The 27,571-nt window shown below is 38.1% G+C and overlaps 1 protein-coding gene across 12 annotated transcripts in view, besides 1 other annotated feature; it reads left to right on the forward strand.

The window, feature by feature from the left end:
- Positions 1-27,571, forward strand: part of KLHL2 (kelch like family member 2) — a 115,596-nt gene that overhangs the window by 7,840 nt on the left and 80,185 nt on the right. For 4 of the 12 annotated variants that reach the window (XM_047449560.1, XM_047449561.1, XM_017007675.3 and 1 more), the window contains exons 2-5: positions 2,625-2,815; positions 4,534-4,659; positions 13,407-13,513; positions 23,378-23,499. In XM_047449560.1, coding sequence (XP_047305516.1) covers positions 2,625-2,815; positions 4,534-4,659; positions 13,407-13,513; positions 23,378-23,499 — 546 coding nt within the window. Of the gene's footprint in view, positions 1-2,624; positions 2,816-4,243; positions 4,323-4,533; positions 4,660-8,537; positions 8,658-13,406; positions 13,514-23,377; positions 23,500-27,571 lie in introns of those variants that run through there. The other 8 variants (NM_007246.4, NM_001161521.1, XM_017007674.2 and 5 more) reach the window with 7 other exon arrangements.
- Positions 22,878-22,947: an enhancer, noted in NCBI's record as "active region_22117". NCBI's record gives its function as "activates an Ori minimal core promoter by ATAC-STARR-seq in GM12878 lymphoblastoid cells {active_cell/tissue: GM12878}" and the evidence as "EXISTENCE:reporter gene assay evidence [ECO:0000049][PMID:35858748]".

Genomic DNA, 27,571 nt, shown 5'->3' on the forward strand with positions numbered 1-27,571 from the left:
CCTGCTTCTGAATGCAAGTTTGGCTGGGAAGACAGCAGAGAAATAGAAGAAATATTATAAAGTAATGGAGAAACCTCAAAACATTACAGCATGGATGTTGACTTTGAAAACAACAGCTGCTGACGTGAACTTGGCAGAAATTTGTGAGTAATGGTGGGTGACTCATTGCAAGCAGGGGAGTCTTGCAGCTTTTGAGGTGAACAGGCAAAGGGGAGAACAGTGATGGTGGCCACCCAAGGGCCAAGTATTTATGTCCTAAATGTCAAAATGTCTTTGATCTCCTGTTAAACTTTGCAGCTGCATCATTCACATGAATGGTTGCATTTTTTTTTTCTAAAAATACAACATATTTTCTAAAGCATTTGTTTTTAATCTGGGATGATTCTGAGGTGGGAGGTAAGTTGGTGGCAGGACATATTACATGACTTTTGTTATTATTATTATTTTTAAAAATCACGCATTGCTGGCTTTCTCCTATACTCCTGGAGATGCCATCATGTATGTATAGCTAATTCTAAAAAGGGCTTGTGTGACTCTTCATGTGAGAAGGGGTGGTTATTTGTGGCTTGAAAAAATTGCTTGGGTGATTCTGATCTTTCTCTTTCACGCTGCTGAAAACCATTGTTTCAAAGCCAATAATAAATATCTAAAGAAGTTTTACTTCATTTCTGTGGTGTTCTCAGAATTGTTACAGCAGGTTTAAACCTTTGCCTGGTTTGGAAATCTTGACTATTTGAGAGAGACAGCCCTGTTAGAGTCTTTGTTTTCTTCCTGTCTGAGAATTCAGTTATCATCAATAGTGTATTCTTAGGCAGAGTCAGAAAGTCACCTCATCTGAGAAGCCACCTGTGTCCACAGCTGGGAATTTGCAGAAGTCAGTCACTGAAGGAAGGCTTTAGGATATCTATGATAAAACATAGCAGTACACTGGGATCCAAACCCTGGGAAACCTCAACTATTTTAGAGTATGTGTTGATAACAATAGGCTATTGGATAATTGCCAGACTACTTGAGGAGTCTAAGAGTTGCATAAAGACTTAAAGGTGAAAGGAACTTGGAAAAATATCTTCTTCAGGTATTTTAAGGGAGACAGTTCTCAGAATGAGAAGCTTTTCTGGAAAAGGCTAGCACTTTGCTTCAGAAGAGAAGCAGGGCAAAGGTGTAATTCTTCATTTAATGTGGTACAACCTAAAGGGTAAACCTTTACCTCTCACTTAACTAGTTATTCCTAGTATGTATATGTATATATGTCTCACATCTATAGTTTTAGACATTATGCATCATTTTCTGTTCTGCTTCTGAATGAGAAGCCATCTAACACAAAGCCACACAGGGAATGGAAATTTATGGAAAGGGCATTCGTTTTGAAAATGGACGTTTGCAGAAGGGGTGATGTATTTGTAAGTGACTCTCGGTACAGAGAACACTTAACAAAATTCAGTGTTTTTTCTTACTTATTCCTTTAAGCCTTTGAATAAAGTCTTCTTTGCAGGGTTTCTGTAGTACATCAGAAAAAGGAGGAGCTGAAAATAGGTTTAAGAGAGCACCAATGTGGGCATTGATTGTTGTATGGCAACTGTCTTAAAGTGAATTCTCCAATGCAGGGAATTTTAATTCCTAAGTTCTTAAGCAAATATAAACACTCCTGACTCTTAAATCATGACATTCTTTCTGGGGCAGAGTTGCTTTTGCTTCCACTTTCAAGCATTGAAAATTCTTTTATGATAGTTTTGCTAATCCTCAGTATAACATTCTTCCTTTGTTGCACCTTCTAAATTATTAAACTAGAAGCAAATATAGAATAAGTATTACCTTGCTATCGTATATAGACATGCAGTGTTACATGGTTAGAAAGTTTGCATGGGTTGCATATATCTACGCATTTTCCCCTTTCCCTGGTTTCTTACTGTTTCCTTTACAGGTAGAATGAGAATATCTGTCTTATACTATAAAGTGTTTCTCCAGTTCTCTCCCTCCAGACGTGAATGTTCTGCCATCTTTTTGGCTTCTAGACTTATCAGTGCTTTTCCTTTCTTAGACTGGGTGTAACTAATTCCCTACACACACACCTTCAAGAGGGCATAGGGAGTAGAGTGGCACCTCCTTATTCTCCCACTTCAGCTGTAGGCTTTCCCTGTGGAGGTAAAGCCTTGCGCTAATTCATTTGTTAGGCCCCTTAAAAACTCTCAAGCGGTGAGGAAGTAGAACTGATGTGCACTTGTAGTAGGCAAGCCCTCAGAGAGTCAGGTGCTTCAACTAGTGCTGATTCTGGGGTTTGGGGTTTGCTTAATTTTAGAGGTTATATTCATGTTGAGTACCTGTTTCATGGCTTCGTGTACCATCCATGTAACCAGTGATTCCCACATTTCTGACTCCAGCTAAACTTTTCTCTCCAGCTCTAGACTCCAATATTTATCTGGTGATTTGATGCCTTCACTTGGATGTCTGATGTTTTAAAACCATTAGGTATAAAAACAGCTCTTGATCTCTGCCTATCTCAAACAGTTTCCACCTGCAGCCTTCTTCATCTCAATGAACAGAAACTCAGTCCTTTCTCTTGTTCAGGCCAAAAGACTTGGAGTCATTCTGACTTTCTTTGACATGTCATATGGTTGTTTCAACAGATCTCGTTGGCTGTATCTTCAAAATGTCCAGAACCCAGCCAGTTTTCATCACCTCCACTGCGACTGTCCTCCCTAAGCCACTGTCATTTTTTAGTGAATTATTGTAATATCCTGCTAAATAGTTGCCCCCTTTTCATCTTTGACCCGTGTAGAGTGTTCTCAACCAGCAGCCAAAGTGGTCTTTGGAAAACGTAAGTCGGATTGTATCACTCTTTTGCAGTGTCTCCTCATTTCACTCAAAGTGAAAGGCCTTAGGATATCCTAAAAGGCCCTTTGTGATCTGCACTCCCCTCTCCTGCTCAGCCCCAGCCTTTTGCCAAAGCTGCATGGGTCACAGTTCCTGGAACATACCAGGTACATATTGGCCTTTGCTGTAGTTACTACTTCCATCCGGATGTTCCCACACCCCCTAGTCTTTTGTTCAAATCTCAGTTCTCAACTAGGCCTTCCCTGAGCACCCTATTTACTGCAGATTACACCCCTCCACCGTCCCCACATTTCTCTCTCTCTTCACGCTGCCCTGCTTTTTCTACTTCCATAACACCATTTCCCAACATGCCAGTTGCTTCCCTGACTTGTGCTGTCTTTCCCTTTCCCCCCACCAGACTCCAAGCTCTATGAGGACAGGGATCTTTGTTTTATTCACTGATATATTCCAAGTGCCTTAAGAGTAGTGATTGGTACATGGTTGGTACTAAAAACAATTGCTGAATGAATTAATGAACGATAATGTTTAAAAATGAATCATCCTTTTAGAAATGGGTCAGGAAAGGAAGAGAAGTGCAGCAATTAATAATGATGTTTGCTTGTTCTTTGATATATATACAAGTATGATATTTTTAGACTTCATTTTTTAAGCCTAGTTAAAAAATTGGTGCCCTGATTTTTTATGTAATAGCTTTATTGAGGTATAATTTACATACCATAAATCCACCCATTATAATTGTGCAATCTAATGATTTTTATTAAATTTATAAAGTTTTATAACCATTGCTTCAAAAAGTTGTCTTGTGTTCATTAATTTGCAGTTAATTCTTGCCCCCCTCCTCATGGGACCCTGATTTTTTTGGTTAATTTTATGTCCTAAGTCTTGAAAGAATAATTCATGTAGCAATGCTAGTATAGCCTTGTGTGCTTAAAAAATGTAAATTTAAATATTCACTGTTCAGTGTAGGAAATGGTATTGAAATATTAGTGAAAAGAACAAGATGGAGAATCAGACTGGCCATACTCTTACCCAGCCCTACCATTTACCCCGTTACTCAAACTATTCTCTTCATCTGTTAAATGGGGATAATAATAGTAATTTGCTCAGAGAGTTGTTGTGAGGATTAACCAAATAATGAAAGTAAACTACTCAGCACAGGGCTGCCATATGGTAAATACTCAATAACTATTAACTAACATGATTAATCTCGATTAATCTCTTGTTAGTATAGGTCAAAATATATGGGGTTAATATATCCTGGCAGGTAGAGAGCAAAATTTAAATCAGATTCTAAGTTTCTGAAGTTTGTGTAAAATATGATCCTGCTCTGTCTTGGTTTGTTAATAACGTATGACTATAGAAGTTTGTAAAAGCAAGTTAATTTCCAATGGAGAAGATCATTTCTCAACAGTTTTATTTGGAGATATCTGCTAAGCCACTTCTGCTGAATATTCTGTGTTGATCTTTGACGGAACTTGGACACCAGGGAGGTAATTACCCACTTTTTAATTGAAACCATAGTGTCCATCAGAAACTGTTCTTAATTGTCTTAACCTTACATTGGGATATTCTGTCCATGAGACTTCCTCTAAATAAGTAGGGGAAGGAGACATTCATTGTCTCTCTTGTAGCTTGATAAGCTGAACTAAATGATCTTTAATAAGATCTTTTTCTGTTTTTGTTCTTTTCTTTTATGTACAGATGCACAAAGCAGGGTCATCAGAAGCCTCTCGATTCAAAAGATGATAATACCGAAAAACACTGCCCAGTGACAGTGAATCCTTGGCATATGAAGAAAGCTTTCAAAGTCATGAACGAATTAAGAAGGTATCATTATACTAATGTACATGCAACCATTGGTTTCGTCCCTTTATTTTTCAGTTGTTTGTAGTGAATATATAATCAACCTTCCATTGTTGCTTTGTCTGGTACACAGAACATTAAAAGCTTTTTCTGCAAGTTTTTTAAAGGAAAAGAGCAAATAATTTATCAGAAGTGTGGATGGTGTGGGGCTCCTCTATTAGTGTGGTAGCCGCTTAGCCACATACAGCTAGTCTGATGAGATAGTTTGGAGGTGAAAAATACACAGGGGATTTCTAAATGCAAAAAAAAGAAATGTAAATATTTTATTAATACTTTTAAATATATTGATTCCATGTAGAAATGATAATATACTAGATATTTTGAGTTAAAAAGAATACAGTAGGCCAGGTGCGGTGACTCATGCCTATAATCCCAGCACTTTGAGAGGCCAGGGCAGGAGGATCACTTGAAGCCAGGAGTTTGAGACCAGCCTGGTCAACACAGTGAGACTCTGTCCCTATTTTCTTTCTGTTAAAGTTAAAAATAAGAGAATATATTATTGAAATTAATTTCTCTTGTTTCTTTTTACCTTTTTAATGTGATTACTATAAAATTGTGACTTGCATTATGTTTATATTGGACAGTGCTGGTCTAGGGCTTCTAACTTACTGTGGCAAAGAGTATGGAAAGAAACTTTTAGAGAAAAATGTAACCATTGTTTTGTGGGAGTGGTGGTAGTTTTGGGGGGCAGTGACCTGCCTGTTGCTGAGGTAATTCTCAAGTGTACTAAGGATCACTGCAACTTTTAAGTAGTATTAAAAGTTGATTGAAAAATGAGTAGCTTTTTTTTTAATTAAAAGGGTAATATATGTATTAAGAGTCTTGGTTTTATTTTCTTAGCACTTTATGAAAGATCTGCTTTTTCCCAGCATTCCGTTTGTGAAAGTACTCTACGTATATCTATCTGAAATGCTGAAAGCCTGGCTAAGAAGGGATTAAACCTTCCCTTAATCTTTCTGTGCTGCCTAAAAGCTCTCCCTTTTAGGCCCATCATTTGTTTGTTTCTTCTTTAATTAAATTAGGGATTCAATAAATATTTATCTGCTAGGTACTGTAGGTACAATGGTGAGCAAGAACAAATATGGTTGCCACCCTTGTGGGCCCATAGCTGACTGCAGGAAGCAGGCATTCATCAAAGAATCACAAAAATAATTTACTGTAATGATAGTAAGTGTTGCAGAGGAGGGCTGCTGGTGCTAGAAAGGTGGATAACAGTGGTCAGGAAAGGCTTTCTTGAGAAGACAGGAATAATTATGCTGATATCTAGAAGGAAAAGAAGATAAGGGGATAAAGTCAGGATGGGAGTGAGGAGAGGGAGAACAGTGTTCCAGGCATTGGGAATGCTGTGCCACATCTTAGGGTAGGAAGGAGCTGGCCTCATCGGAGGAACTGACAGTGTTGCTGCAGTGCACGTGGCGGTGGAATCACACAGGAGAGGCAGCTGAGTAGGTAGGAGGGGCCATTGGACTGAGGTCCTGAAATTTTGGTCTTAATCAAGAGTTGCCTTGAGAGAAAGCCAGTGGAGAGTGTTAAGCGGGAATGTGACCTGATCAGATTTATATTTTGAACACACTGGCTGCTGGGTGGAGAATGGATTGGAGAGAGATAAGAGAAAGTTAAACTGAATATTGGATCATTTAATTTGCTTTCTAGTACCGCTTTGACAACATTTTCAGAATGTGGGTTTTCACTTATTCTTTGGGAGAATATATAACTGGGATAATCCAGCAAGTCTGAGGGTGCTGTTTCAGGATTTTAATCCTGTTTTGACAGTAGTTATTAGAATGTAAAATGCATTGGTTACTAAGTGGAACTGCAAGAAAAGTAAGAAAAATAGTCTGGTTGTTTTAAGACTGGGATCTTTAATGGCTCTTTTTTCTCTTTGAGAAGTCTAAAAAGACTGACTTTTAATAGGACTATTCAAATGTTCTTTTTCCCCACTCCTATGGGTGGGGCACGGGTAGCCTTGGCTTTCTGCTGGTGTTAATGTGAGTGGGTCTCTGTTGACCTGGGCATGACTCACTAAACTGCAGGGAAGGTAACACCAAGTGCTCCTTCCCTTGGGGTGAATGACCTGAGTTTTGGGACAGACTCTGGTCTCGAGCCAATTATTTTACTTGTTTGAGCCTGACTAAAATGAGAGGAATGGACAGGATGGTGTCTAAGGTTCAGTGCTGCTCTGACATTCTCAGCCTAGAGATGTTTTTCCTGCTTACCTGCAAGCCCTGTGGTGTCCTTGCCTGGCCCTAGGATTATTTATAAGCTCCAGTCTTCATTCATCTGTTTGCCCCTTTTTGGATGTGAACTCTATAACTGTGAGATAGTACCTTCTTGTTCTTTGTGTGGCACCCTTTCAGCAGCTGGGTCTGGTATGTCACTGGGCTGGTAGTCGATGCTGATTTTCAGAACAAAGAATGACCTTTGAATAGCCAGAGTGTTGGCTGCCAGGTCTATAACCCGGATTGTTTTAATGAAAGTGCCAACAACAACAGTATTTTTAAAAATGGACTGTCGTTGGAGTTCATCAGACCTTTTTAAAAATGTCATTCCCTTCCACTCTTAAATCTTATAGCCATTTTGAGTAATTCTTTAAAAAAAAATCTCTAAAGAGGCCTATTCCTTATACAGCTGAAAATCATTAATTATTTCCTGTCCTTGCGTCAACTTCCTCTTGCCCAGAAAGGGTAGCTGAGAGTGGTTTCCTGACTTCTGGGAAGGGAAAACTTCCTTGTTCTCACCACTCTGCCCTTGGGCTCTAACCTCAAAGTGGTAGAGCAACAGCTGTACTCCGAACAATGTTAATGTGAACCTTTGGCTAATGGAAGCAAAATTTTAGGAATAAAAGTCACTTTCAATTATGGCTGATGTAAGGTGTGGTTGTGGGAATGGGGGTAGGAAGACAGGAGTTCTGTAAGGTTTAAGTTACAGAATTAAAATTGTTTGATAGAAAAAGTACATGACATTTTATTGTTTTCTTAAACTAATTGTTTTTAGACAGGAGGCCCAGAGACCTAGCTTTATATCCCAGCCTGGTAAGAGCTTGAATATCTTGAAATTATTTGGTTTAAAAACCCTGCAGTCATATGTAAACAATGTATTCAACAAGTATTGGTGAGCACCTAATCAGCTAATATGCCTGAAAGGCTGTGTGGGATCCAAAAACAGTATCAGACTTAGGCCATGCCCTCTGAGTGTCTAGAGAGCTGCTGGACACATACAGAGAGGAGGATGAGGCAGTGAAAAAGTGTGCAAATCGTGGGTGCCCAAAAGAATTCTCATGGGGAAAATTCACACAGCCCACAGAGGTGGGCTTCAGTTGGGCCTTGATGGGAGTGCAGCAGGATTCACTGAGGGGATGGAGTGGGAAGGTCTTCCTGGCATGATTAATTGCACAAGCCAGGGAGGGAATAAACGTCATCTGTTGGATAAAGTGAATCAAGGGTTCATCCTGGGGAGTCTGTGCAGAAAAGGTTAGGAAGCAAGAGAAGAGCAGAATTGTGGCAGGCTTGAATAGTATGATGAATTCGGACTTAATCCTCTGGGCAGTGGGATTCAGTGAAGGCTTTTGAGAAACGGAGCATCATGCTAAGATTAATGATGTTGGAGTTGTGAAAGGATGGCTTTTAGGTCAGCAGTGCATCTCTGGTGGGAAATTCAGATCTTAACTCTAAATTTCCCAAGTGTGGATGGGGGAAATTTTTCAAAACACCAACATTTTCAAAATCAACCCAATAGATCTTCACAGAATGCTTATAATGTGCAACACACTGTATTAGGTCTATAGAGGGGACAGAGAAGCAGACTGTACCCCAGGTAAGTTTTTTCTTTTTCTTTTTTTCGAGACAATCTCACTCTGCCACCCAGGCTGGAATGCAGTGGCGTGATCTCAGCTCACTGCAACCTCCGACTCCTGGGTTCAAGCGATTGTCCCACCTCAGCCTCCCGAGTAGCTGGGATTACAGGTGCGTGCCGTCACACCCAGCTAATTTTTTATATTTTTAGTAGAGACAGGATTTTGCCATGTTGGCTAGGCTGGCCCAAATAAGTTTTATTGACAAAATTAGATTGCTAGCTTTTGGAGAAGACCAAAGAGCAACTGTTGAAAGGTGGCATTTTGTGTTTAAAATAAATTAAAAAAAAAAAAACCTACTGTTTTTTAGGCTATAGGATAAGACTGTACTTGAGCTTTAACAATTTCAATGAGTATTAGTGGTGGGGGCACAACCTATTAGCTTTATTTACAAGGAATGTAAGTTTGATCCTTAATATTTAGGAGTTGAAAGTGTTCAGTAAGGATGAATCATATGAAGCAATTCAAATGTTCACCTTTATATCCTGTACAACCCATAAATATTGAGTTGTTCGTTCATAACAGCAGTTCTTAACATTCCAGAAGATATTTAAGCAAAATAGCCTGACCTGCCCTCTTAAAGGAATGGTTATTGTGTTTTTCCTCCAGGATTTTAGGCATCATGGGACCTATATCACTACTAGGATTAGATTATCTGATGTGCATCCATAAAAACATTTGATTTGTGGCTGTTGAATTTTGGCTAAATTGTTATTGTGGCTGTTGTATGAATTCATACTTTGTTGCTTAGATGGCAAGTGAATTAAACAGTGAACTTAAGTGAGTCTCCCTTTTTCTTCAGGTATACCTGAGATATTTTGATACAGGTTTATAATGTATAATAATCACATTAGAGTAAATGGGATATCCATGACCTCAAGCATTTATCCTTGGTGTTATAAACAATCCAGTTATAATCTTTTAGTTATTTTTAAATGTATCATTAAATTATTATTGACTACAGTCACCCTATTGTGAGACATATTTTACTTTTAAGAAGATAGACACCGTGCATTTTAAAAGCAGTGACAGGTTTTTCTCAGTCTTAGGAATTCATTCATTTTATATCAGAAGACCCAAGGATGCCTTAGTATGTTCAGGCATGTTTCATACCTTTTCAAAGCAGTTTCTTTTTTTCCTGGGAAGGACCAATTTTCATGATATAATTTTATTTAGGAGATGGAGTGCCTTTCTTTATTCTGTGCTATTTGAGTTTTATATTAAGCCTATCTAACTCCTGTTCTTTTCCCTTTAGATTTGAGCTTAGAAGCCACTTTCATTCTGAAGCTTTTCCATAAGGTTGGGCCTAGCTTCTCCTGTGTGTTTCCAAATATCCCACACTTGCCCCATCTTAAAGTCATGGGTTCATTTTATAATCACTTATTTCCTTGTCTGTCTCCCTCACATGACTGTAAACTTCATACTGTCATGGCTGTTAATCTTGTTTATTTTGGTAAGCTCACACAGTCCTTGATAAGTGAATGAATACATGCAAATTTTGCTAAATAACAACTTATTTATACCATTATTTTGGAGGCGTTGTTTTCCTACAGTTTATTCCCTCATTAGATTTCAAGTAATAGGAACATAAACTTAGAAATTCACCATGGAAGACTTTGCATATGGGCTGCTAAAAGAAGTTTTTCTTATTTTTAGTGCCAGACTTTTCATTCGTAGCTGTCTCACTCAAAACATTCAGCTTCTTGTAAGCATGCAAATTTGGAAAGAGGTAAGGGCCAGACTCAGTGTACACACACTGATATACACTCATTTTATACTCAGTGACCCAAACTAGTAAGAGTTTGTTAGCTCTCTCATCTCTGAATGCTGTTTTAAAATATGTTATTACTGAAGACAAATAAAAAATTGAATACTAAAACTAAACATGTCCTTAATTTGTAAAGTGTCTCTGAGACCTAACCCAGGATGTGGCTGCATAATATTTTAGCAGTGTTTTAACCTTATTAGTTAACTAACATCAACTAATAAGTCAGTAAGGCCAAGTTAATTATGTAAGTGACAGCCAGCAGGTATTATGTTAGAAGGTTTGGATCAATGAATAATTGTAATTGAAACCAAATGTAATTAGTTATGTGATTTTTGAGGTGTTCAGGTGTAATTCCACTTGTGTTCCATCTTGAAACTAAAGCACTAGGAAGGATTACTGACAAAAGGAAAATAGGCATAAAGATGCACTTGACTCATGTTTGAGTTGTGTTCAAATCCCCAGGTCACAAAAGAGAAACCTGGATTGCTTTATTCTAGAGAGACCATGCATGCTCTGCTGACCCTGCTTACCTGCCTCCAGAGTTTCTTCGCTCCCACCCTTCTCTGTCCCCACTCTTCTTGGCCCACAGTTCCGCATTCTGCTTTGCTGCTTCAGGTCTCCATGCGATAGTACATCATGTTCTCTTTGGGATTCTTTTGCTCCTTCTCGATCCAGCTAACTCTTACTTGTTTTTAGAACTCAGCTTAAGGCCAATAGCTGCAGGAAGCCCTTTCTGATCCCCAGTCTGATTTAAATGCAGCCCCCCACCCCAGCCTTTCCATAACATCTTTATTACGGTGCTTTCCACTTTATCCTATAATTTTTGCATTGCCAGTTTTTTCTGCTCGTCTTCTTAAGGGCAGAGATGGTCTTGCAGTACTTTGTTGAATGAATGAACAAACTTTGATTTTTAAAAATATTCTGTAGAGGTAGTGCTTAAAACCCACTAAAATTGGAGCTTTTATTAGCTATATATAGAACTTAAAAATACTTTCTAGTATATATTATGTCAAAAAATAAATTATTTATTATTTATTTATTATTTCTCTTTCTTGTTTTATTCAAACTTTAACAGATCTTAAAACCGTATAGCTTTAGGTTTTGTGTAGTGGTCAAGAGGCTCTGGAGTCAGCCTGTGGATTCGAATCCTGGCACTGCCTCTAGTTGGAGGACTTTAACCTTGGTTTCCCCAGCTATAAATTTGGGGATAAAAATAATACCTTATAACATTGTGGTGGGCACTAAATGAAATAATACATGCAGGTAAAACTCTTGCATAGTACCTTCCTGAAAACACTGCTGACACCACTGACTTTTCCACCCTAGTTATATGTGAACCCATAGAATTCATAGAATTGCAGAATGGTTTTATATTCTCAGAGCAGATGGTAAACTTTGTCAGTTCTCTAAAATGATCTGGAGGAATTATAAATTAGTGATACTGTGCCACCTTTTATGACTCCAATACGGGACCTGCTTTATGTCTCATACAGCATCATGAGCCATTAAACTGGTAACACACAAGCCATACCATAATCTAAATGGCATAGCAGTCTCATCAGCAATGAGGCCCTGGGATGCAGTCATCACTGATGCTGGGGTACTCTTTTTTTCTTCCATTTCTCCTAAACTGGAAGGAGAATAGTTACCAGTAGGCTCTCCAAAAAGTTTTGGCATGAACTTTATGGGAACAAGTTTGCAAGCAGTATGGACAGGTGGAAAACTTCAAGGACTTGGTCAAGCTCATGGGAAATGTTGCTTGTAAGCTACTAGAAAATTACAGAAGTAGGCAGGCCACCTTTTTAGGAAATAGAACAGTAGAGGAGGGTGCCAAGTGTGACCTGCATGCACTATGCACATAGACATAAATTCAGTGCTTGGGTATGTAAGGTGTGGAAGGGACATTTGCTTTCACCACACCTGTTTCAGTCATTCATAGTATGACTACTAGCAAGGCAGGTTTTAGGCTTTGGAGCCTTTTTGCTTGTTCTAGAATAAGCATCAGCAACGTTTTCTGTTAAAAATATTCTGTGACATTATTAATTACCTGGAGAGTATGATCTGGCACCACGCATTGCATGTCAAAAATGCTCACCACATGTTTTTGAGTGAATTATAATGGATGTTTTAAAATTAGAGATATAATAATTATGGTTGCTGAATAATGGTTTTGAGGTAACAAAATGCTTTTTTTTTTTTTTTGAAACAGAGTCTCACTCTGTCACCCAGGCTGGAGTGCGGTGGTGCGATCTTGGCTGAATGCAACCTCTGCCTCCCAGGTTCAAGTGATTCTTGTGTCTCAGCCTCCTCAGTAGCTGCGATCATAGGTGTGGTCTACCATGCCTGGCTAATATTTGTATTTTTAATAGAGGCTGGGTTTCGCCATGTTGGCCAGGCTGGTCTCAAACTTCTGGCTTCAAGTGATCCATCCATCTACCTTGGCCTCCCAAAGTGTTGGGATTATAGGCATGAGCCACTGCACCTGGCCAAAGTGTTTTTTAACTTTAGATGTAATATTTTCTGGCCTTGAAGGATGAGATATTTTGCATTGGTAAAATGTTGTGATTAAGTTAAGCTTCAAATGTGCAAAGCCTTTTAAGCAGCAAGTGTAACTGAATATAATTTTACCATTGCTTGATGAACTAGCGTCTTTTAAGATTTTTTTTTTTTTTGAGAGGGGATGGGTATTTGACCCAATTTAGTTTTCGGTATGTGTTTTTTCTTCATCTTCATGTCAGACTACACCTGCCACTTCTGCCACTACTTCTTATTCAGACACCCTCTTCTTTTGCAGTCCATTGATGGTTTGCTGCCAGTAATTGCCTTTAGGTTGAGAAATCAGTAATCAAGTTTGGGAGGATTTCTGTGTTTTTCAAAGGCAGGATTCTTAGTGAGAGTCCAAGGCATGTTGGACCTTTATCCCAGCTGTTTTCTATGTACTTCATGTTTAGGGATCATGTCCCAAAGGATGGCTGTCTTTTACGTTAGTCTCCACTTGATGAAAGTGGGCTTTACTGTAATATTTTTGCATAGGATGTTCAATACATTCGTTGTTGATATCATTTAAATTTTTTCTCTCTGCTTTTTACACAGTCAAAATTTGCTGTGCGATGTCACAATTGTGGCAGAAGACATGGAAATTTCTGCTCATAGAGTGGTGCTGGCCGCCTGTAGTCCTTATTTTCATGCCATGTTTACAGGTATGAAATATTTTAGTTATAGGCATTTTAAAAAATGTATTCAGATCTGTGCTTTTCTTACCACATTTTCTTTTGTTATTGACATTTTACTTTTATGAAATGAAGAATTATAGTGGAAGAAAATGTTCTTGCTTTGTTCCAAATTCCTCCTCGTCTTTGTTTTGCATTGTTGGAGGTCAGTAAGCCTATACATAGGTACACTCACAATTTTATGCTCAACTTTCTCCCTGTAAGTTATACTTATGTATATTAGTTTCTGCCATTTATAATAGCTTTTTGGCACTTTATTATTTTGACAAAAGGAAGCCACTTTACATTTTTTAAAATGATTTTTACATTTGTTTCATCCAGTGTTACATTGAACAAAAAGATGTTTATTTAATATCCTTCATTTGGAAATATAAGAAAATAAAGCGATTTATCTACAAGCTCATGTTCTACTTTGGCAACTGTGAAAATATATAGAATGATTTTAGTACTTCTGGAAAAGAAGTAATTTATGTCTGTCACACTTGAATCCCTTACTCTCATTCTTTTTTAAAATATACTGTACAAAGAAACGAAGTTTTTATCTGTTACATCAATGAGTTTATAATCTTAGGGTATTGGTATGCCAAATAGAAAATACAAATAGAAATGTAGTTATACCAAAAAGCAAAAATACAAAGCTCTTCTTACTTTAGAAACTATTAAGTATTTCTGGTGCTACTGTTTTACTAGATACTTCAAGGCATACAAAAACAATGTGAACAGCTTCCTGCCCCAAAAGCTTCCTGTGTAGCTAGGCAGATGGATGTGCACCCTTTAATAGGTAATAGTGTATGGAAGATCTGAGTGCTCACAGCAGTGGTCAGACGTTGACGGCTGTGATGGGCAGCACTGAGAGAAGGATTTCCCCAGACCTGATGGATTGAGGGGTTTACACAGATGAAGATGAGTGTAGAAGGTCAGATGGAGAAGACAGACTGAGTGAAAACTTTTCTGGGTGTCTTGGGAGTAGTGAGGAGACCAGAGCCCCGCTCAGTTTTCAGCCTTTTATGATCTTGCTCTTCCAGAACAGAGTTAAATAATCAGGAATGAAGAAGGATAGCAGGTGGGCTCTGAGCCAAGTTTGGGAGGGTTGCCTTTCAGCTGAGAGCTGAGGTTGATCTGAAAAGTCAATACCCGTGAAGTGAGACTAGTCAGATTTTTATGTCTTGGGGTTCACTCTAGTCTCTTCATTTACATCTTATTTATTACTGCTGGACACTTTTCTAGAGAGAGAGAGTCTCTAAGGCTTGTAAGAGAAGGATTCGATCTGGAATGTGTTGGGCTACTTTAGGAATTACCTTGTAAAGTGCTGTCCCCTTGGTGGCCTTCCTTCAGATGACACTGCTGTTGCCACTTACTTGTTGGAACTACTAGGTCTTTGGAAAACTTAATCTGTGCTTCAGTTTCCCCATCTGGAAAATGGGAATAATAATATTACCCACATCCTAGAGTTTTTGTAAAGATTAAATGAGATCATATGTGTGAATTTCTTAGCACTTGACGCATAGAAAATGATCAGTTAATTTTGACAGTAATTATTATGGTCATCATCACCATTCTTTTTTACTCTAACTTCCTAAATTTCTTTATATTCTGTACAAGATTGGAAAGCTTTAAGCTAGGCTCTTTTTTTTTTTTTGATAAATGTTTTATTGTCCACAGAGTGACAAAAATAGAGTGATTAACTTACACCTGTAAGATCAAGGTTAGTTTTCTTTCCCCTCAAATGGCTTTGGAGACTTAGTGTCTCCAAACTCCCTGAGCCTTAGACATCCAGTGAAATGGATGCTAGGTGGAGATAGGAGAGCTTATTATGTTTTTAGCTCTCTTTTCTGTTTGCTTTATAATCTAAACTGCATTTCAGTTTCCCTCTTCTGTTTTTGTCTAATGGTTCTCTATGCTTCATGATTTAGCTGACGTGGTTTATGAATATGTGAGCTTTGCCTAATGAAGGGAATGAGGCATTGAAGACATTCTGATTTTCTAAGTATTTATAGTGTATTACAACTAACTAGTAGGTAGGTGCTTTTGCAGTTCAACTGGTTTCTGTCTGAGAATATACCTTTTATGCTTAGCCAAATTTTAGATTGCTATGCGCTAAAGTACTTGAAAATAGGAATACTATGTTAATTTCTGGCACATATACAAAATGTGAATTGAGTACCTAACTTTTTTTTTACTAGTTTATTGAGGCATATTTTATATATCATAAAATTTACTCATTTCAGGGCTGGATGCAATGGCTCACACCTGTAATTCCAGCACTTTAGGAGGCTGAGGCAGGTGGATTGCTTGAGGGGTTCAAGACCAGCCTTGGCCACATGGTGAAAACCCATCTCTATCAAAATATAAAAAATCAGCTTAGTGTGGTGGCACTAGTCTATAGTCCCAGCTACTCAGGAGGCTGAGGTGGAAGGATCACTTGAGCCTGGGAGGCAGAGGTTGCAGTGAACCAAGATGGTGCCATTGCATGCTAGCCTGGGTGACAGAGTGAGAAAAAAAAAATTACCTATATTAAGTGCACAACTCACTGATTTTTAGCAAATTTACTGAGTCGTACTGCCATCACCATAAATCAATTTTAGAACATTTTTGTTCTCACATAATGTTTTTGAGGTTCATCCGTGTCATAAATGTTTCAAAGGAAGGTTTGCTGTTCTTATTGCTAAATAGCATTCTCTGTGGATAGACTGCTTTTGACTTTCCATTTACCAGTTGATGGATGTTTTTGTGTTGTTTCGATTTTTGGCTATTATGAATAATACTGCTATGAATATTCATGTGCAGTTCTTTGTGTGGACATATATTTTTATTTCTCTTGGGAGTAGATATCTAGGAGTGTAATTGCCGGGTCACATGGTAAATTTATACTTAAAAAATTCTGCTAAGCTGTTTTTCCAAAGTTACTGTACCATTTTACATTCCTACTAGCAATGTTTGAAACTTCCTATTTCTCCACATCCTTGCCAACACTTGGTACCGCTTTTTAAAAAATTATAGCCCTTCTAGTGGGTGTTGAAGTAGCATAGTATTGTAGTTTTAATTTGCATTTTTCTAATAACCAATGATGTCAAGCATCTTTCTATATGCTTATTATTTAGGCTAAACTTTTATGGTTTTTCAGCAGTAGATGTTATTTGACTTTTTAGCAATCTTTGTACTGTTTTTTTTCTTCTACTTTTGAATCTACTGTTTAGCCAACAATTTGGCAGAAATTAGATAAGATAAAGGCCACTTTGGGAAGCTGAGGCAGGTGGATCACGAGGTCAGGAGATTGAGACCATCCTGGCTAACATGGTGAAACCCTGTCTCTACTAAAAATACAAAAAAAAAATTAGCCGGGCGTGGTGGCGGGCACCTGTAGTCCCACCTACTCGGGAGGCTGAGGCAGGAGAATGGCGTGAACCCAGGAGGTGGAACTTGCAGTGAGCCGAGATAGCACCACTGCAATCCAGCCTGGGCGACAGAGCAAGACTCTGTCTCAAAAAAAAAAAAAAAAGATAAAGGCAGGGCGCAGTGGCTCATGCCTGTAATCCCAGCACTTTGGGAGGCCGAGGTGGCAGAATTGCTTGAGCCCATAAGTTCTAAACCAGCCTGGGAGAAATAGGGAGATCTCATCTCTAAAAAGATTTTTAAAAAAATTGACTGAGCATGGTCACACGTGCCTGTATAGTCAGTCCCAGATACTGGGGAGGCTGAGGCAGGAGGATCGCTTGAGCCTAGGAAGCAGAGGTTGCACTGAGCTGAGATCATGCCACTGCCCTCCACCTGGGCAACAGAGTGAGAATATGACCCTGTCTCAAAAAATGAAAAAGAAAAAAAGAAGACACGGGGATTGGGTCTAGGTAATTTAGTGTATGTAGACTCATTTAAGTATTTGCCAGAGTATGAGTACTTTGTTTCTTTGTTTTTCATGGTCTGAAACCCTGTTAAGCTTTTTTTTTTTTTTTTTTTTTTTTTTGGTAAAAATTATGGTGAGGTTAACAAGTAGACCATTGGATGCTTTCATTCCACCAAACATCATGTACATTTACATTCTCTTGCTCAGGGACAGGGAGTTTCCCTACTCTTCTTTTGTTTTCCTGTGACTAACCTATTAGGAAATGGGGAATATGCAGATGTTCTTTGTTGGGTCTTACTTTTAATCTCATAAACTGTAGGTGAAGTTTTCATTTAAATTATGTCACCTAAGAAATAATTCTGTTACTCGTCATAGTTCCAAGTATTTGAGTAGAGAAGGGAAGTGAAAAGTAATTCTGTGAAGTAGTCACAGGGTTTTACTTTGTGAAGTATGGGCCTATTTAGAGCAAGGCCAAGTTGTTTAACTGTTACTTAAGAAAGAACATACCAAATTGGGTTCTCGTGTTTTTAGATTACTTCTTGGTTACAAATGTGGCATTTAGAAAGCTGTTTGCTTAACACATACTTTGAGATTTATTTGTGCCACAGGCTAACATTTCTGAAATCTGGTGGGAAGTACTGAATACTAAATTTTTATTTTTAGCCTTTTTTTTGGTGTGCTTTTTGATTTCTTTTGTCATATTGAACATGATTCAGTAAAATAAATTAGAATAGGAAAAGACAGATTATTGTTTGAGTGACTAAGAAGTAAGATTTTAAAAAGCTATATACATGGTTATGTTTGTCTAAGATTCATGCTTTCATTCATCAAGGAATATTTATTGAGAATCTTCTCTGCTAGGCATTGTCCTAGGCTTTGGGGACTAGAGTGATGAATAAAACAGATAAGTTCCTGTTCTCATGATTATAGTTAGGAAGAAGAAGAAAGGTTAGACAGTAAGTAAACACACAAAAGATAATTTCTGATATTGATGATGGCTCTGAAAAAAATTAAATAGAATGTTGCACAAAGAACTTAAGTTGGAATGCTTTAGGCTGCCTGTAACAGCAAATGCCACTCAAACTGGTTTAAATACTAAGAAAGCAGGCTGGGCACCAGACATGATTGGATCTACAGCTTGAAAATTTCATCAAGAATCTTCTTCTGTCTCTCTACCCTTCTATCCTCAATAAAAATATCCTAAGGTTTGTTCCTCTCCTAAATGAAAGATGCCTGCAAGAGTGGACCCAACATCTCAAGGAAGGAGGACTCTGTCTTTTAGGAGCTAAGAAACCTTTCTCAGAAGTTACCCAAACCAGAACAAAACTGGCAGGGCAATGCAGTTACCATGTTGGTCTTAGATTTGCTGTAGAACTGGAGAGTTACATACTCTGACCATCACAGAGAGTGGCTGGTGGGCCACCCAGATCAGCTTGCCAAACTGAAAATGCCTGTGTGTCAGTAACTGCTTTGTAACCTAAGAACAAAAAGGTGGTAGTAATTAGAGTAGATGACAAGTGGAACTTGCAAAGTAATGGAATAAGATTTGTTTATTAAACATAGCTATAAATTTGTTATTTATTTCTTAGAGTTTCAGCATAGTCAGAGTTTCTGTGTTACACTTTTATTTTTTTTCAGATGTTTTGTGTGCTAAATAACTGAAATTAGAATCATAGAATTTTTAAAATGAAATGAATTTTAGCGTTTATCTTTTTAAACCTATTCACTTTTCATTTATACATTGGATAAATTCATTTTGCAATGGATAAGTGAAGTTACCAGTTTATGTTGGGCTTCAGGAGTCCTGATTAAAGATCCTTGAGTTGGAATTTTTTTTTTTTTTTTTTTTTGAGATGGAGTCTCGCTCTGTACCAGGCTGGAGTGCAGTGGCATGATCTCAGCTCACTGCAGCCTCCGTCTCCCGGTTTCAAGCGATTCTCCTGCCTCAGCCTCCTGAGTAGCTGGGACTATAGGCATGCGAGATGGAAATGTTTTTAGCCATATATGTGTTCTTACACTTTCATGATTTGGAGGACTTCCTTTTTTTCTCAATAAAAGTAGATAGGAGACTGGGTACGGTGGCTTATGCCTATAATCCCAGTACTTTGGGAGGCCAAGGCGGAAGAATCATTTGAGGCCATGAGTTCAAGGCTGCAGTGAGCTGTGATTACGCAATTGCACTTCATCCTGGGCAACAGAATGAGACTCTGTCTCAAAAAAAAAGGTAGAGATGATGTGGTATTTGCTAGTGAAAGTGCTTGGCTCACTCTGTAATGTACAGTGATGTTCAATAAATGTTGACTGAAATCCTACATAGCTAGAATATCCGTGTTTAAGACTAATTTTAAAGTGCCATTAGTTACGTTAAGTAAAAATGCTATATTTTATGTATTTATTCAGTTAATTTATTTATTTACTTATTTATTTATTTGGTAAGATAGAGTCTTTCTCTGTCACCCAGGCTAGAGTGCAGTGGTGCGGTCTTAGCTCACTGTAACCTCCACCTCCCGGGTTCATGCAATTCTCCTGCCTCAGCCTCTCACGTAGCTGGGATTACAGGCATGTACCAGCATGCCTGGCTAATTTTTGTATTTTTAGTAGAGATAGGGTTTCGCCATGTTGGCCAGGCTGGTGTTGGACTCCTGACCTCACATGATCCGCCTGCCTTGGCCTCCCAAAGCACTGGGATTACAGGCATGAGCCCCTGTGCCCAGCCAAAATGCTACATTTTAAATTGGCACTTGCTTTACTTTTTATTCATCTAGTCATTTACTTATCTAACCAGTATTTATTGGGTATCTACTAGATGTCAGACATGTTATACAGAGATAAGAAAGGCTTCATCCCTGTTCTCAGTGAGCTTAAGAATTCAGAGGAGGAGAACTAGGTAAAGAGTTGATTATGACAGAGTGGATTTGCATGAGGTACCCAACTGTACCTAATCCAGCCATGGGCCACTAACAGATAAGGCTACCTAGAGAGGTTCCAGTGGAGATTAGCCTGGGAAATGAGTGGGTGGGGAGACAGAGAGGACAATGTTCAACAAGAGCATCAGGGGTAAGACATTGCTTGGTGTCTGTAGAAAACAACAAACAGCTTCTCAATAATGTATTTCAAGTTTAGAAATAGCGGGAGGAGAGAGAGAAGGCTAGGTAATGAATCAGGGGCTGGACATGTGTGCTTGGACTGGGAGAAACCAAAGGATTTTTGAACTCCGTGCCCAAATTTGTGGAGTCAGTACTGGAGGCAGGAAAATAATTAGGAGGTGGCTACATTGGTGTTAGCAAGAGATTATAGGATCCCCAATGGTGAGAAGGTGAGAAGATTTATTTGAGATCTATCCAAGGTTAGTTCTGCAAGTTTTAGTGAACTGTGGGACTGGTGGGTAAGGAAGAGGAGAGAATCAAGGATGACTCTCACTGAGGTTTTTAGTATAGGTGTTTGTATGGATAGCATAATGTAGCTTCAGAGTTCTGATATAACCTCAGAGTTATGTGATCAAAACATAAACAATAAACTATAATCTCTATAGAGACTATGGGAGGTTACAAATGGTAAGGATAAACTATGTACAGTATCATTGGGTAGCCTAGTTTTTTTTCTGTTTGTTTTAAATAGGACAGAGTCTTGCTGTGTTGCCCAGGCTAGTCTTGAACTCCTGGGCTCAAGTGATTCTCCTGCTTCAGTCTCCCTAGTAGCTGGGATTACAGGAGTGAGCCACAGCACCTGACTCTCATTCATAGTTTTTAAAATGCATTAGCAATCAGAAATCTCACAAAGCCATACTGTTTAAAGATTTCCTCTGAAAACACAGCATAGGGCAAAAACTAAGGTAATAATGTAACAACTGGAATTAGATATAAATAACTTTTACAATACTCTTTAGTATGGGCTTTGATTCATAGTAATTAGAATTTTTAAACCATTAATACAGTCATGGGCACATTTTTTATTTTTCTTACTGTTTTTGTAAATTAATATAAAAATATTCAAAACAGTATATAATTGAAATTGAATTTATTGGAAGCAGATACAGTTCTCTGGGGAGAAAAATAATCTTAAAAATGACAAATATTTGAACTAGCAAAATGCATCTTATAGCAATACCTTAAAAACTATAATATTAAAAACTGTTTGGCAGAGAACTAATTATTTTTCAGTCATACATGTAAATTAAAGTCCCACTTGGTTTTGCCTAAGGTAAGTCACGCTTAACTGAGTACTGGCTGTTTGGCTTTGTGCTCATGTGGCCCCAGGCCCTGAAGGGCTTTGCATATTATTGGGGCTCTGTAGGTGAATCAGTTATGGCCTTTGTCTCAAGTCCAAGTGGGAATCACCAGAATGTCTTAACTTTTGGCACAAAAGAGGCTTCAGTTTATACAGACTATCAGTTTATACCCCAACTATTCACAGGATCCAGCAAGAATAGGATAGAGAAAGGTGCCTTATATGTGGCTGAAGACTTATTTTTCTGTATTCCTTGACCTTCCTTTTTCCTCCTTTCTGTAAGCAGGGGAAAAACATTTGCCGTAGCACCAGACATACAACTCAGTCCCCTTTCATCCTGCTATGTAGGTATAGGTACATCTTTCTCATTAACTCTCCTACTTCCCTTGTCATACAAAGAGATGTTTTTCTTCCTGGGAAGTAGCAGGGTAGTTTTTTGGGATATTTTAGCTCTGAGATGAACAGCTTCTTTCTGAGATCTTGTCAAAGATAATCTCCAGGGAAGCACGCAGTTTTGTACACCACTATTGTTATTTCTCTTCTCCCAGGGTTTTGTTTACAAAGGAATTTTGTGTAATTATGATTTCCCATAGACTTTTCTGATAGTTTATGGTCGCTGACAGTGCATTGTATCAGAAAAAGAAGTGAGCTTTCAAGAAATCTTGAGGCTATGTTATGGTTTAATAAGAGATGCTGGGTTAAAGTGAAGGTGATGAATAGTGGCACGTTCTCATGCTTCTTTTACCTTTGAAACTTAGTGAATTCTAGAGCCAAATCTTTTTTGCCCATGGCCCTCAGCATTATTCTTGGACTGTCCTTTTAGTTTTTAATTGAATCCCTCCCCACCCGCATTCAATTGCTTGTGTCTCCATGTATCATAGTTCACTTATGTTGTCACACCTCGGTGCTTAAACTTGCCTCCTACTCTCCCCAAGTCTCCTTGGCTTAGGGACCATCCCTTCTCTTTCCTCCTTCCCTATTTCTTTTCCACAAGTGGGTATTAGGAAGAAAGTCTTTTACTGTTTTCTTTGCAGGCAGTTTTGTAGAAGGATACCTGGTTTTAGTAATAAAGCTGGTATGGAAATGACTTCAGCGTGAAGTTGCTGCAGTTGACAAACAGGAACTGAATCTGAGCTAGAAGATCTCTGTAACAAGCTTTGTTGTTGACTAACTCTTTGTTATTATTGTGATCCCTGTTATGCCTTGCATTCTCTAAGCATCATAAGTAATTTGTTTTCTCGTTGTCTCTGGCATGAGGGTTGTGACCTCTCACTGAGGGTGGAGCCTCTGTGTCTGGTGCAGGCTATGCATGCCCCGGCAGGCATTTGTGTGTTTGTTGAAGGAGTAATGCTAACCAGGTGGGTCCTTTTCAGCAGCTGTTCATTGCTATTAGCCAAAGGCAGTAACATCGTTACTCTTCTAGTCATGACTGGAAATCCATAAAGACAACAAGTGCCCAAAAGCAGGGACAGCCTCAGCTACTGATCCTATAGCCACAAGAATAGTTCATGCAGCTGGACATATGGCACGTTCATTGTTGTGATATGATTTTCAGGTGCAAGTGGGTAACAAAAGTACATTTTATGATTTGCTCAGGTGAGCTTTTGGAAGAGGAAGGGGGGAGTATTTTCGGCCTGCAAAAAGTGGCTGATTATGCTGCCTGTTGAATACAGTGAGTGGCAAGAAGATGTATCAATCTACATTGGCATTGGAACTTCCACAGCAGTGTCTTGCTGTAACATCACTCTTATTCCTTTGTGTTTTAGGTGAGATGAGTGAGAGCCGAGCAAAGAGAGTTAGAATAAAAGAGGTAGATGGCTGGACCCTGAGGATGCTAATTGATTATGTTTACACTGCAGAAATTCAGGTTACAGAAGAAAATGTACAGGTAAGAGTAAACACTTCACACCATCTAGCTTTTTATGCATACAGTTTTTTTAATAAAAAAAGCACACCCACACAGTATACAATTTGCACCAAAATAATAGGATTCATTGTGAAAATTGTATTTCTAAAAAATATTTGGAATGATTACACCTTTTTAGTAATGTTTCTGAGTTCAGTATCTTTTATATTCCTTAAGATCTGAGATACAAATCCTTTAGTTCTCTGAATGATGCTTGTTCTTTCATGAAAACACTGTCATATTCATTTATAACTGTTGATTGATGCTGCCCACAATTTTTCTTTATTCCTTGGAAGGATATAGTCTACAAAGTATGTTTTTGACTGCCAATATTTTTTATTTCTGTCTTTTTTTTTTTTTTTTTGATACCCGATCTTGGTCTGTCTCTCAGGGTGGTGTGTGGTGGTGTGATCATGGATCATGCAGCCTCGACCTCCTAGGCTCAAGGAGTCCTCCCGCTGCAGCCTCCCAGCTACTTGGCTGGGACTACAGGCGTGTGCCACTATGCCCAGCTAATTTTCTTATTTTTTTGTAGAGAGGTCTCACTGTGTTCCCCAGGCTGATCTCAAACTCTTGGGCTCAAGTGATCCGCCCTCTTCAGCCTCCCAAAGTGCTGGGATTATAGGTGTGAACCACCATATGCCCAGCCTATTCTTTGTTTTACTATTTGAGCATCCTCTTTAAGTGATTCTGGAGTTTAGGTAAAAGTTGATATTGCATCTTATTTTCTATAAAGAACAAATGTTTTATGTGTGTTACATAAATGTTTAAATAATACAGATGGGTGTGGAGTAAAAGGTGAAAATCCCTCTTTAGAAAACGGACCTTCTCTTCGAACCTACCCCAGTCCACATACATTGATTCACTTCTTCTTCTCTAGAGGGCAGCTTCTGTTATATACTGTGAATCCCTTCAGACTGTTTTCCATGCATTTATTCACACAAACGTACACACAATTTTTTTACATAAGAAATACTATACTTGTTCTGAAACTTGCTTTTTGAACTGAACAGTGTCTTAGGGGTCTTCACACATTAGTGTATATGGGTCTAACTCATGTTAATCAGCTATATATATATATGTATGATTTTTCACCTTTATAAAAACAGTGCAATGAGTGAACATTTTTATATTTGCATCCCCAAATTTTATAAGCTGGATTCCTCAAAATGGAATTGGTGGATCAAAGAGTACATGCATATATTAATTTTTTGATAGCAATGCCAAATTGCCATCTGAAAATGTGTGTTTATTTATATTCCTTCTAACAGGGACACTGTGTTTTGAGGACAACAAAAATAACTAGGACTAAATTCTTAAGAAATAATCTTTAAATTCTACTTGCACAAATAGGAAGTTGTTGGCTCAATCCTTATCCCTGCTAACTAGTTGAAATATGCTACAGAATGAATTCGGAGACTGAAATCTTTGCACTTGTTAAGACATGCTATCGATTGTTCCATGTGAAATACTGGCAGTAGTAAGGCCTCCTGGTGATCTTTCCCAGATGGCCTCATTAGCTTTTGCTTAGAAGTTCCAGTTGTGAGGTAAGGCATTTGAAAAACCTTGGTCAATATTGGGGTTGTTTCTAAATGTATGCATCAGATGCTAGATGAACTTTTTTTTTTTTTTTTTAACATGGAAGAAAGTGTTTGGTATATGTCATGAGATCACTGAACTAATATGTCATCTCGTTCTGGTCTTTTAGGTACATTTAGACTATTTGCTAGATTCTGGGGCATTGTTTTCAACAAGAGTTTATCTTGGTTTCTTTTTGTTCATTCTTTTTATTCATTTTAGTGCATGGGCCTCATTATGTCCTTATATTTGACCTTCAACAAATGAATTACTGATTTCTTTGATTCACATAATGGGCCACATGGGAGAAAATTGAGAAAACTCATTTAGGCCTTAGAGACTAAACTGTGTGAATTCAGCCCTGAATGTTGTTTGTAGTAGTTCTTGTGGTGGGGACATGGGCCTATTAGGAATTAGGAGAACACCTCTCATGTTTCTTTTAATAACTATCATGTTCCAGTCCTGAAATATTAGTCATCACAGCCTTTCAGAAAACTCTTGCCATCCTAATTTGCCTCTTGTGTATATATTGCTTAGCTTTTAGAATATGCAGGAATACATTCTAAGAGTTACATTTGGCAGGCTTATTAAATGCTTAACATTTGTATAGTTTTGTTTTGTTTTAAGTTTTTAAGAGGGAGAGGGATATCTCTTCAGCATAGGGCTATCATGATTTGTAAAGCTTTCTTTTATTTTCAATTGAAAAATACTTGTTTTGGAAAAGGCAGTTGAGAAATAAATTAGATTAAAAGTAGCTACTTTTTCCATAACATGTGTTTTTCAATGAAAAAAATAAGACTATACCATGTAAAGATACACCAGACTCCTATTTCCTGCTTTGTATATTTTTTGTCAATCTATATTTTGTTAAATCTTTCTTGTAAAGTGCTGTCCACCTTAAAGAAGAAGGTGTCTGTTGTTATTAATGTTAAGCTGAAGTTTTAAGTGGCCCTAACTGGAAGCCATGCTCTGAATTTATATGCCCTGAAGGTGCTGACAGTGGGAACAGAAGTTTCTGTAATTCAAATGTTTCTTGGTGGTGGTATATTTTTCTCACTGGACCTAGACTCAAATCTTTTACCAGGTGACCTCCCTTTTGAAAGTTTCTGTTTTAGTAGTAAAGTATAATATTGGGCTAGAAAGTATCTTTGGGATTGCATGTTTTGATGCAGAATCATTGTGCCGTAGAATGCTGAGGTCCAGCCATCTGTTGGCAGTCAGTTGGCGACAGAACAGGGCCATACCCCTGGTTTCCCAGATTACTAGTGTAGGGTCTCTTCCATGATACCATATGGTCTCCTTATTACACTAATTTTAAACAATATAATACCTATTTGAAGTGAAGGTTGTTAACTTGGAGTCAGAATGAGGGAATGAGTAATTTAAAAAATTAACTCCAAAGAAGGGACTATTGTTATTATAGTCCCTTCTGATTTATACAAGCAATAGGGCTTTAATTCTTGGCCATTCCAGGTTTCCTAGCTTTTTGTGTGTTTGTTGCTGCTGTTGTTTTTTTGTTTGTTTAGGTTTTTAAACTTTGGCTTTAAGTTTGGATATTTGGTTTTATTTATGGCAGAATTGGAGGATAATTTGAGCTAAATGAATTTACAGGTTTTTTTTTAAAGGGAGATAAAAGGAGAACCAATATTTTACCTATGACTACACTTGTAATTCAACTTTTTTGTTGTTGTTGCTGTTGAGTGAATTAAAATTTAACTTGTGTCTAGAGTTTCAAAGCAAACTTTATGAACTGCATAAATCTGGGAAATAGAGAAAATACAGTCAAAGGCTATTGAAAAGTATGCTCTTTGACATTTGGTGGTTATGGACACCTTTGAGAATATGATGAAAAACTGTCAACCCTTTTCTAAGGAAAGGGCACATTAGCTTATCTGCACAAAGTTTTGCATACATTTTCAATACACTTTCAGAGAATCCATGTACCTTGCTGCTTGCCCCACCTTCCACTGTTAAGAATACTTGGCTTTATTTTTAAATTTTTAAATTTTTTTATTTTATTGAGACAGAGTCTTGCTCTGTTGCCCAGGCTGTGGTCAGTGGTGTGATCTTGGCTCGTTGCAACCTTCTCTTCCCAGGTTCAAGCAATTCTCCCACCTCAGCCTTCCAAGTAGCTGGGACTACAGACATGCACCATCACGCCCGGCTAATTTTTGTATTTTTAGTAGAGATGGGGTTTCACCATGTTGGCCAGGCTGGTCTTGAACTTCTGACCTCAAGCAGTCTGCCAACCTTGGCCTCCTCAAGTGCTGGGATTATAGGCATGAGCTACCACTCCTGGCCAAGAATACTTGGCTTTAGATATAAAAAATATAAATATATAAGTGTGTGTGAGTCTGTGTGTGTATGTGCATGTATGAAGGATTTTCACATGAGTATATCTCTAGTTATATGCTAAGCATTTTATATGTAGCTCATTTGATGTTTTTGCCTCCATATAAGATAGGTGTTACCCCAA

This window comes from Homo sapiens, chromosome 4 (assembly GCF_000001405.40).
Source record: "Homo sapiens chromosome 4, GRCh38.p14 Primary Assembly".
Taxonomy (NCBI): Eukaryota; Metazoa; Chordata; class Mammalia; order Primates; family Hominidae; genus Homo; species Homo sapiens.